General features: G+C 44.1%; 1 long non-coding RNA gene across 1 annotated transcript in view; it reads left to right on the top strand.

Annotated features, from left to right (window-relative positions):
* The first annotated feature begins 380 nt into the window (after window positions 1-380).
* Window positions 381-12,130, top strand: part of LOC107987166 (uncharacterized) — a 160,015-nt gene continuing 148,265 nt past the window's right edge. Inside the window, exon 1 of the long non-coding RNA XR_001748403.2 lies at window positions 381-729. This is a non-coding gene — a long non-coding RNA (uncharacterized LOC107987166). The remainder of the gene's footprint in view (window positions 730-12,130) is intronic.

The following is a 12,130-nucleotide window of genomic DNA, read 5'->3' as shown; positions in this document are numbered from 1 at the left end:
TTATAATATCCCACTAATGAAGCAAGAAATAAAATTGAGGGGAAGAGATTCTCTTTTGGAATCTTTATTTTATTTTGACATCAACTCAGGATCCAACTACAGCCTTCTTTTGAGATTTAGGAGTTTAGGATTTTTGTTTTTAAAAGGCTCAATCTGGTCCAAGTCTCAACAACTAGATGTTTAGTGTTAGTGTGTATGCGTGTGTGTGTGTGTGTGTGTGTGTGTGTATGTGTATGTTGTGTGTGCCTGTGTATCTTTATTTTCCATTTACCTCAAAATTGATAGATTTCCAATTTAGAGCAAGGGGGGATCAGGAGGGAGAAGGAAAATGGAGCTGCCCATCAAAATTAGCAGGGAAGTGGGTAAAGGTCATTTGATCACAGCTTGGCTGTGCTCTGAATTAACCTGCATAACAGAGACTTGTTGAGTTTGCAGCTCTTTAAGGTGCATATTAACACCAGGAGGAAGGCAAGGAGACACCCTGAGAGAAGGTCAATTTGTGGCTGCTCAAATCAGCAGGGCTCCTGGAGAAACTTGGCTGGAGAAGCCAGCTCTGGGCCCTTTGGGTGAGAAGCAAGAGAGGAAAGTCCAGTCTGTGGAGGAGGGGAGGCCCCAGTGCTTCTTGGGGGCAGCTTCTGCAGTCTGGCTAACCTGTGAGAACCCTGAAAGTGCAGCTGGGAGGGACTTCCTCCCGAAGTGGAGCTGCAACAGAAAGAGAATTAAGGAGAGGTGAGCACCGCATCCAGCGGCAATTGCAGATTCATTAATTGTCTGTGGGGAAAAGAATGGGAGGCATTTATATGATAAAGATGCTGGGAAATTAGAGGGAACAGCAGTGCTGTTTACTGTTTTTATTTTATTTTTATTATCATTAAATTGCTTCAAGTCACCTGTAATTTCCTTAGGCTGTCACAATTAAAAATCTTTGAGGATTATATAAGACACACACAGTCAGAAAGGTATAATTTAAACTTGCAGAGGTCTGAGGGCCTCAGCTCTTTTTCATTACCTCCCTGGCAGTTGGCACTAATGGGTTGAATTAAGTGACCCCCCAAGGCAGGTTCCAGTTTCCAAGCCATGTGGTTTTACCATGAACTTGGGCCATGGTGGACAGCTGTGCCCTGGAGGGAGGAGGCATTACCTGACTGCATAATCCTGCTTTGCCCCAGAATGGCTCTCTGTCTGTGGGTGAGTCGTTTGTCCTCCCTGTCTCTCAGTCTCCCCAGCTGTCATGTGGGGATATTAGTCCATAACTTCCAAGAGTGTGGTTTGGCTTATATAAGACCATGAATTCTGTGTTCTGGCAATAATTCTCTGACAACAGCTGGGTGTCCTGCAATTCTACTGGAGTCTGACACTAACTACTGGGAGTCAGCATCAGATCCCACAAGTTAAAGGGCCAGGTCACCAACGAAACCATCCTTACTTCAGATATCACTTGCAAATGGGGTCCCCAGTGCAGGGGAGAAAAAAGAAATATCTTTTCCTCACTCATTGCAAGGTTCATGGCTGAGATCCTGTAACAAAAGACAGATTAATGAGAAAGAAGAGCAGGCAAATAATTCAATACAAGTTTTTGCATGGCCTTCAATAATGAAGGTCCAAAGACACAGGGAAAACTGTATTTTTACGGACAGTCATGTGGAAGTGTGATTGGAGAACAAAAGAGTGTGCTCTCATGGTAATAAACTAGGGGAAGCTTAGTGAGGCCTGTTTGTTCAGATTCTTCTTGGCATCCCTGTGTGATCATTCTTTCCTCTGAGTGTAGCCAGGATGCCTGTCATGTGAGGGTTTTCAGGGGAGGAGGGAGGGAGAAGGTCAGAGAGTGACCTTCTCAGGTTTTATGGCTTGCTTCAGGGAAGAACAAGTGAGGAGCATTTCATTTTCTATGATCTGTTTCAGGACAGAGGGGGTGGAGAAAGATAGAGAAAACTTCCTGCCTCTGCTGTTTTCTCAGTTTCTTTTAGCTTAAAATACTCAGTATGCCAAGATGCCATATTTTGGAGTAGTGTCTCCTGCACTCCGTCACTAGCCTACCTGCACTTCTGTCTGACTTGGCTACAAATTCAGGTGACTGCATGAGTCTCCTTCAGGTTCAATAATTTTCTAGAACAACTCTCGGGAATCACTAAAAGTACTGTACTCACCATTACAGTTTTACCTTAAAGGATACAGGTCAGGAACAACAAAATGCTCAAGGTAGGGCGATGGTGCACAGAACTTCCATGCCCTTTCCTTGTGAAATAGCCTTTCTAGCACATTAATATATTCACCCTTCCATGCCCTTTCCTTGTGAAATCGCCTTTCTAGCACATTAATATATTCACCAACCAGAAAGATCCACTGAGCTTTGGTGTCCAGAGTCTTTATATGAGTTTCATTATGTGGGCATGATTGATTGAATCAACGGCCTTGTGATTGAACTCAATCTCCAGTCTTTCTCCCCTCCCTAGAGCTGGGGGCTGGGGCTGAAAGTTCCAACTCTAATCCCACGCTTGGTCTTTCTAGCATGGCCAGCCTCTCCCTTGAAACTTTCTAAGGGCTCACCATTAGCATTTATACACTTTACTGTGGTCAAAAAGGGCTTGTTATGAATAACAAAATACATTCCTATCAGGAAATTCCAAGAGTTTTTGAAGCTGTGTGCCAGGAACTGGGGACAAAGATATCACAGCTTCCAAGTTGTAGTTTTCTTCAGAATCACTACAGAGCATGTTAAAAGTTCAGCTTCCAGGGTCCTGGTCCTCCAGATGGTTTTGATACAGTAGGGCTGGGTTGGGACTCACAATTCTCCATTTCTACCATTCCCCCAGGTGATGTTGGTATGGGTGGGCTATGAGTCACTCACTGAGGAATGCTGACATGATGTAATGTACGGTAACATGCATGGAATTGCTCTGAAAGCTGTACTGTTCTCCACAAACATTAAGCATTATCACTAGGACTGTTTCCTCCTTTGAACAGGTTTGATTGTTGGATATGTGTTAAGTGTAATTGTAATTAAATACTAGAGCTGAAGGATACTTAGAAGCCTTAGGTAATCTAGTTCCCTGGGATTCTTTGAAATATTTTTAGGGGTTGGGCAAGGTTGGAAGATGAAGTCAGAAATGGGGATGTGCAAAGCCTAATGGAGACTAGAGTTGGGCCATTCACAATGCTCCCTTAGCCATTCCTGCAATACTCCCCCTCATTTTCCCTCGTTGCCTCCTTGTTCATCCCAATGGATGTGGGTTGTGTTTGTAATGGATGTGGTTGAGCCCCACTTACTGCCTCCTCCCCATCTCCTAGGCTGACTATAAAGTGTGAAGCCTGGGTCCTCTACAAATCTGGGACCTCAGCCGTGACCTCAAAACTCTTGCAAGTTTCTAAATTGATTTCTTGAACTGTGGTTTTAAGACACTTCCCAAAGAACCACCTGGAGAGTGATAGTGAATTGGTATCTTTGCAGGATGAACAAAGAAATTGGCATTTTATTTTGTTTTAATTTTTTTGAGATAGAGTCTCTCTCTGTCACCCAGGCTAGAGTGCAGTGGTGCAATCTCAGCTCACTGCAACCTCTGCCTCCCAGGTTCAAGCGATTTTCCTGCCTCAACCTCCTGAGTAGCTGGGATTACAGATATGTGCCATCATGTCTGGAGAATTTTCATATTTTTAATAGAGATGAAGTTTCACCATGTTGACCAGGCTGGTCTTGAACTCCTGACCTCAAGTGATCCACCCGCCTTGGCTGGGATTACAGGCGTGAGCCACTGTGCCCAGCTGGAATTGGCATTTTAAACAAATTCTTAAGAACCCCCAACCCCTTTCCCTTAGCAGGCAGCCTTGTCTCTAACTTGTAGACAGTCCAGTGCAAGCTGGCAAGGGTTAGTGTACTGTCTGGCAGGTGGTGGGCTGTCGTGGAAGTTGATGGAATGGATGAGAGTATCAATAAATTCAAGCTTCCTTCTCTCCAACGTAAAGTTCTTTTGTGTCTTTGTGTTTCTACTCCCCATTCCACGTCCTGACCAAGGCCCCAGTGGGGCTTCTGGCCTTGTCCAAGATCCTGCTCTCAGTTAGCCTCTCTCTCCTGTGTCTTCAGTGTCTTTCTTTCCACCCATCTCTCCGCATGGACAGGTATCCCCAGGCCTCCTTTCAAGATACCCTTCTGTTTTCTCTTTCTCTGTGTCTCTAATCAATACTGGTTACTTTCCCTCTTAGATCAGTGGCATCACCATTCTCTCAACTTCCTGCACTCCTCACCTCTCTCTCCCTCTTTGCTACATCAGTCTGTGGCTGAGTCCTCCTATTTTACCTCTGCTTTTTGTGTTGTATCCAGTTTCTTCTTTCCCTCCCCAGTTTCCTCCCTACACTGGGCCTTCCTTTTCTCACTTGAAGTCTTAGCTCTTTTCATATCATTACTTTGTTCAAGATGCTTCTATGACTCCCCACTCCCAGCAGAATTAGATCCCCAATCTTTTGTTGCCACAATTTGGCTCCTGCTTATCTTTCATTTATTTATTTATTTATTTTTTGAGATGGAATCTTGCTCTGTCGCCCAGGCTGGAGTGCAGTGGTGCGATCGCAGATCACTGCAACCTCTGCCTCCCGGGTTCAAGTGATTCTCCTACCTCAGCCACCCGAGTAGCTGGGATTACAGGCACACACCACCACGCCTGGCTAATTTTTGTATTTTTAGTAGAGATGGGGTTGCACTATGTTGGTCAGGCTGGTCTCGAACTCCTGACCTCGTGATCCGCCTGCCTCGGCCTGCCAAAGTGCTGGGATTATAGGCATGAGCCACCGCTTCTGGCCTCCTGCTTATCTTTCAAAATGTATCTTCCACCACTCCCCTGAACTTTCAGTTTTCCAAAAATCCTAGATTCCTTCCCTCCTGGACCTGAGCACTTGCTGCACCTCTTGCCTCCTCACCTGTAGCCTTGCTGTTTGCATCCCTGCTCCCTTCCACATCAATCAGTTCAACTCCATGGCCCCTGTTCCAGGAAGCCTTCCATCATCCCCAGGCATAAGATTATCCCTGGAACCTCCCTAGCTCACCCCTGGTCTTTGCTGTGATTTGTACCACAGTCTGCTTTGCTTTGTGATTGTTCAGGTATGTGTCAGCTTCTGAGATTGTCAGCTCCTTGAAGATGGTAACAATATCAATAACAGCAGGTCCAATGACACCTACTATGAGTACCAGGTTCTTTGCATACAGTAACTTTGAAACTTATAACTGTACTCCAACTTAGTTGTAGTCTCCATTTTAGAGATATGGAAACTGGGGCTTAGAAAGGTAAAGGCCAAAAAGCTGACAAGGATGAGATTCAAACCCAGACTGACTCCAAAACCCACTCTCTTTCAACCCCACAACATGGCTCCCAAGGCAAAGAAGACAAAATCCACATTTATTGAGCACCTACTGTGTGCCACTGCTGGTAGGGATCCAAAGCTGGGCAAGATCATCCCATGAAACAATATATATATGAGTTACCAGAACAGCATCTGGCACGCAGTAGGTGCTCAATAAATGCTAATTGAGAAATGGATAAACTCAGAGTCCACTCCATGCCAGTGCTTGCTTCCAGAGTAGAGGCTGAGACCTCCCAGAGAATTATGGAAGAAACCCTGGGGCCTGAAATCTCATTCTGGCTCAGCGAAATGCAGTTCCGATGACCCTGAACAAGTCTCACAGCCTCTTCAAACCTCATTTCCTTGCAGTGAAATGAAGAAGCCAGATGACTTTTTTCTAAGGTCCTTCCAACTCTAATAGGTGAGGTGATGTAGGGGTCAGTGAGTTGTAAACAGGCAAGGCAAATACAAGCAGAAGTCATGATTTTAATACTTGAAATCCTTTCAGCAGCAAAGGCATTCCTCTGGTTTTTAGGAAGGCAGGATAATTTCCTTTTAGGGGCCAAAGTTCCCAGCTTGCCTGGGCCATCAGGGACACAGGAGCAGTGGACAAATGGCCACTGCTTTCTGTTGCATATGTTGGGAGTGTGATGCTCTGAGAGCCCTCCTGTCTCATGGGGTACTGACTTCCGTGGTATCTGGCCATGCTTGGCAGAGAGTTAATTAATGTCCGCAGGGCGAGTTAGCAGAAATAACAATTGCTTTGATTAAGGGAGAGAGATGGCTATGAGCTTTGCTTTAAGTAAAATGGACAAAGACAGGATAAGAGATCATCTGCTTCACCTTGAGTGCTGGGGCTCACTGGCCTGGACTTCTGTCCTGGCTCTGACCCATCCAGCTTCCCCCAGGAAATGAGGACCCCTTCCAGTTGTGCCTTAAAAGGACCCTTATTTTTGTTGTTATCCTAGATGCAAGGATCAACACTGCTGTGGACTCGGTGAATATAAATTTGGAGAGGAGCCCAAGATGATCAGGAGGCAGTGACTGAGGGCAGAGCGGAAGTACCTGGGTGCAGAGTCGGGGAAAGACACACAGTACACCATGGATAGTTAGTGTGACTTACCCTCCCGAGGGCTGCTGTGTGCAGACTCTGCCCTCAGCTCTTCCCTGCATTTTCTCACTTGATTTGCACACACATCCAAGGAGGAAGTGTGAACCCTCTGGTTCAGGTCACTTGGCTTGTGAGTAATGGAGCCACAATTCTAAGGCAGGTCCGTTTGTCATGGGTGATGAAATGATTACCCATTACAATATTACCCAGACGATTACCCAAGACAACCTCCTCCGGGGCCAGTAGAATGCAAGGAGGCTGGAAAATATTGAGAACAAAAGAACAAAGAGGAGCCAAGAGCAATGAGCTTAAGAGGGGGAAAGGAGTGAGGCCCAGGGGTGCTCACACTTGCCACGTTGGCTGCTGGAATCTTCTAAGGCTAATATTTGTCAAGCTCCTACTGTGTGAGAGGCATGTGCTGAGAAGGATTGCAGGTGCCAGCTCGTTTAATCATCACGGTAACTGCACGTGGTTGTTGTTCATGATGGTTGACTTTGTCAGTTTGACTGGGCTAAGGGAAGCCCAGATAGCTGGTAAACATGATTTCTGGGTGTGTCTGTGAGGGCTTTTCTGAAAGAGGTTAGCATTCAAATCAGTAGACTGAGTAAAGAAGATCACCTTCACTCAAGTGGATGGGCATCGTCTAATCCCTTGAGAGACTGAACAGAACAGAAGGCGGAAGAATGGGGAGTTCTCTCGGTCTCTGCTTGAGCTGGGACATCCATCTTCTCCTGCCCTTGGACATTGGTGCCCCTGGTTCTCAGGTCTTCAGACTCGGACTAAATTACACTACCATTTTTCATGGTTTTCCACTTTGCACACAGCATATAGTGGGTCTTCTCAGCTTCCACAATCGTGAGCCAATTCTCATAATAAATCTCCTCTTATATTTCTCTCTGTATATATGTAGATATCCTATTGGCTCTGTTTCTCTGGAGAACCAAACTAATACAGTTTTATCTTGCACAGAAGGAGATTAAAGCTTGGAAAGGATAAATGCTTTGTACAAAGTCATGTCACCAGTGCGAGCTGCAAGAATTTGAACCCAAGTCTGTCCTACTCTGAAGTACATGCTGCTTCCACCATCCAGCACTGCCTCCCTCTTTGCAGAACATCACAAAATGCTGCTAAGTCAAGCGTTGGCATAAAGCACATTCCTCACGTCCAAGGGGAGGGAGAAGGGAAAAGAGTGGGAGTGGAAACAGGAAGAGGTAATACTTGTTGAGTACTTCAAACCGGCTGCCCCTTGGCTAGGTACTGCACATGTGTTTAATCTCATTTAATTCTCACAACACCCGGTGGGAGGGGCATAATTGCCCACATTTTGCAGATGAGCGTATTGAGGCTCAGAAATGGCAATTGATTTGCCTAAGGTCACAGAGCTAGTAAATGGCGGACCAAGGATTTCTATCCAGATGGGCCCAACTTCAAAGCCCAGGTTAATTAAAAATATAATTTTGTGCTAAATCAAATAGCAGCTCATACTAGATTCTATTAGAGCCAAGCCATAGCAGAGGCCAATAGTTAAAAGTAAGTTTATAGTTGAAAAATTTACAATTAAGGCAATCATCAATTAACTTAATTTTCTGGGAACAGAGAAAGGTTTGCTGTTATTGAATTTTTGCTGCAGCAGAATCAGTAGCCTTGTTTCCAAACCATGGAGTGTGTTCAATAAAGCAAGAGTTAGAGAGAGCAGCTCAGGGAAGCTGACCCAGGCCGCATGCCCAGAAAGGGGACTGTTGGAGAGCCTTCTGGGCATGAAGAGCAGGCGGGAAGCACAGCCAGGTTAGGGGCTGCCTGGGAGAGTAGTTTTGGCTTCAGTCTTGGCTATGCGCAGTATCTGCCAGAAAAGATCATACGCTCTCAAAAACCAGAGACAAGGAACAAACTAATGTGATCATTTCTCTTCCTTGCTCAGTAACCTTCAATGTCTCCCCGTTGTATCCTGAATAAACCCCATAAGCCTTACCGTGACATTCAAAGCTCAGCACAACCTGGTCCCAATTTACTTTTCTAATCTTATCTCCCACTAATCTCCCCACATAAACTTCATGCTTAAGTTTAACTGGTCCAGTTTTTATTCCATGAACCCAATTCTCAGTCTTGGGTCTTGGGCTGTATCTTTTCTCTTTCCTTCCTTTCCCCTCCAAATCTACCTAGTAGATTCCTGCTCATTCTTCAAGTTCCTTTCCAAGGTAACCTCCTCCATGAAGTCTTCTCTGATTGCCCATGTAGAAGCAAACTCTCCCTCAGGTCATTACTCTGTACATGTGGCACTTATCACATGATGCCTTGAATTGAGATTATTTGTGTCTGTGTCTCATTTTTCCTAGTAGGCTTGTTCTCCTTTATTCAGACCCTAAAGCTCACACCTGTAGGTGTAAGAATTAAACAATAACTAATGAACTAAAAGGTTAAGTAAATAATGGTCAATATTTAAATTCAACAATTTAAAAAGTACCTTGAACTTGCTTAAAAGTTAGAGACTTGAAACATTTTGAGAACTAGGCTGCTTGGAGCTCATAAATGATATTCACTCATTCATTCATTTACTCATTCAAGATCTTCAGTGTGGATTGATATACTTTTTTCTGAAACTCTTGTTTGAGAGCCTGAGGATCCAAGTCCTCCACGAGGTCGGGTCTGTTAGGAACTGCAAATGCCATGGGTCCTCATTCAACCTATGGCTACAGAAAGTGGCCTTCAGAGCAAGATTCATGGCTTGCCAGGTATTCATCTCCTCCTGGGGTTGGGTTAAGCCGCAGGAGAGAAATTGAAGGATGCTGCTATTAAAAATTCTTGGTAACAAGCCAGGTAATTTCTCCTGTGTTCAGCTCCCACATTGCACTTTGTTCATGCCTGGAAGAAACAGAAACTCCCAACCACAGAAAATCTCTTGCCAGTTTGCCTAGCAGCACTGACACCTACCTTGTCTCTAGTATACTTGTACATCTGCAAAATTAAGTCGGCACTGGGGCAACTTGGATCAGTCACAGACAGTTAGAAAGACGAGCGTACCAACTCTGGCCAAAAGCCAAATGCTGCTCAGCTTCATCATTCTCTGACAAATGTGGACTTACCTGGATTTTTTTTTTTTTTAAATCATCATTCTTTATTGGCCCTCACCTTTTGTGAAAGTTGGAGAACAATCTCATTTTGAGTAGCAAGCAAGAAGACATTTGTGCTACGTGCTACATCTCTAGGCAATATACACAGTGATTAAGAATGTGGGGCTTTGGGGTTCATTTGAATCAGCCCACTATTAGCTGTGGGTTTTGTGGGATGTTTTTTGGCATGGTGGGGGTGGTGGGGGTTCAAGATTCTTGATCTTGCTGTGCCTTTGTTTTCTCATCTGTAAAGCAGGATTAATAATAGTCCTGTATTATACTTCATAGTTGGCCTGAGAATTAGATGAGGTAAACAGTGCCAGACAAGGGGGAAGCACTCAATGAGTATTATCTGTTATTAGACTTACAACTGCCAATGGAAATGTAACAGGCTCAGTACATCTGCTGTAACTGCCTTACACCACCCCATATTAGTCAGGGTTCTCTGAAGAAACAGAATCAATAGGATATATAGAGAAAGAGATTTATTATAAGGGATTATAGAGGCCAAGAAGTCCCATGATCTGCCATCTGCAAGCTGGAGAACCAAGAAAGCCAGTGGAGTAGTTCTAGTCCAAGCCTGAAGGCCAGAGGACCAGGGGAACCAATGGTATTTAAGGCCCTGACTGAGTCCAAAGGCCAGAGAACCAGGAGCACTGATGTTCCAGGGCAGGAGAAGATGAATGTCCCAGCTAAAGCAGAAAGCAGACTCACCCTTCCTCCACCTTTTGTTCTATTCAGGCCCTCAATGGATTGCATGAGGCCCACCCACATTGGTGAGGGTGATCTGTATTCAGTCTCCTGAGTTAAAGGCTAATTTCTTCTGGAAACATCTTCACAGACACACCTAGAAGGAATGTTTGACTAGCTCTCTGGGCATCCCTTAGCCCAGTTAAGTTGACATAAAATTAACCCTCACACCCGCAAAGATATAAGCCTTGTTTCTTTGCTTCTTTTCCCTGAATGATTGCTCAACCAAAGCTCAACCCTGAACATGAAGATTTTGGCACTTTTGGTTGAATGCAATCCTAATTCAAGCTTCCTTTATTATTCAGGTGTATGCAATAAACACTCATTTACTGTTTTCTTTCAGCAAGGTGCTGTGCTTGTCTGTGGGAAGTGTTAAGAATAGCAAGACAGTGGAGATAAGTCTTTGTCCCCAGGGAGCTTGTACTGTGGTTGGACTGAAAGAAAGGTGCCTGGTTTCTGTAAAACACCACCAAATGTGAGCACTATTGAAAATGAGATGCAAACCCAATGGCTGGATTATTGGCACAAAACCAGTATCACTGTCCTGCCTTATTTAATTATGGTTTCCTTTTTTGCTAACATCAAATTAAAAAATCCTTGCCATGGTAGTCTAGCAACATTGTTATATTGTCATTCTGCAAATTATGTGGAAAGAATGAATTGTTTTGAGGGTAAGCTTCAAGTAAATTTATGTGCTTATGAACAAATTGCCCATTATTGCTTTCAAAAAAAATTTAAATACTCACTCAATTGACTAATTTCCAACCTTCAAAAAAGAATACCATCTCATGCATTTCTGGAGCTTTAAGGTTTATAAATCTTGCTGCCATGAGCATTCCCTCTGAGTGCTTATAACCATGATGCTGTGAAGGTGGGAAGGTAGGAATATGCTCAGCCTCAGAGTAGAGATGTGGACAGAAGCTTGCAAGATTCAATGTCTTGCCCACGTTCATTTACTAGGGGAACTAGTAAGGTTTTGGAATCCAGGACCCTTGACTTCAAATCCACTGTTCTTTTTGCTACATTACTCTATAGTCTTCAACTAGTTATGCACCATTTAACTAACGTTTACTTTGCCGAAAGTGGAAACAGATAACCTTGAAATTAATTCAAGTTAATGTTAAATGTTGGTAACTTTTTGAGTTGAATGTTTCCATTAACTTTTCCAATGGCTGCTTTTTTGTACCCCTTCACAGCAGTGAACAAAATTGAGTAAGTGCTCAATAAGTATTTATCGAATAAACAAATAGCTAAGCTGGCCCGGTTTGGCTGCAGGGTGGGGTTAGAAGGTTGAATCACTGAAGACAAAGTTGAGCATTTAATTCACTGTTTCATTTGTCAAGTATTTATTAAGTCTCTATGTACTGCACTCCATAGAGTAGACTATTGCACACATGTGGCCCTTGGCAAATTTTTTTAACCTCTCTGAGCCTCAGTTGACTCGGCTTTTAAAATAAGGAATAATAATAGCACCTAACTCACAGGATTGCTATGAGGATCAACTAAGATGATGTATTTAAAGAACTTGGTATAGAGCACGTGGGGTGGATGCTCTGTAAATGGTAAAGATACTAATTATCCATCTCCGCGCTATATACTTATGTGTGGTTCATACCCCAAGGTTCCAGAGCCTGCAGTGAAGTAGTTTCTTGCACTCTGAATAGCAGGGAGGGAAAGCCAGAGTTGATTTGTTTTAGAGATGAGGAGGGGAACAGAGACAAACTGTGGAGGCAGAGCTGAGTTCCCGAGGTCCCGGCTGGAAAGGGCTCTCCTTCTTAGTTTTAGGGGCAATGGGGGAAGGAACCCAGGTAGCTTGGTTGTTGGTCACATGCTA

This window comes from Homo sapiens, chromosome 11 (assembly GCF_000001405.40).
Source record: "Homo sapiens chromosome 11, GRCh38.p14 Primary Assembly".
In the NCBI taxonomy this organism is placed as follows: Eukaryota; Metazoa; Chordata; class Mammalia; order Primates; family Hominidae; genus Homo; species Homo sapiens.
This window is presented reverse-complemented; position numbering and strand designations above follow the sequence as displayed.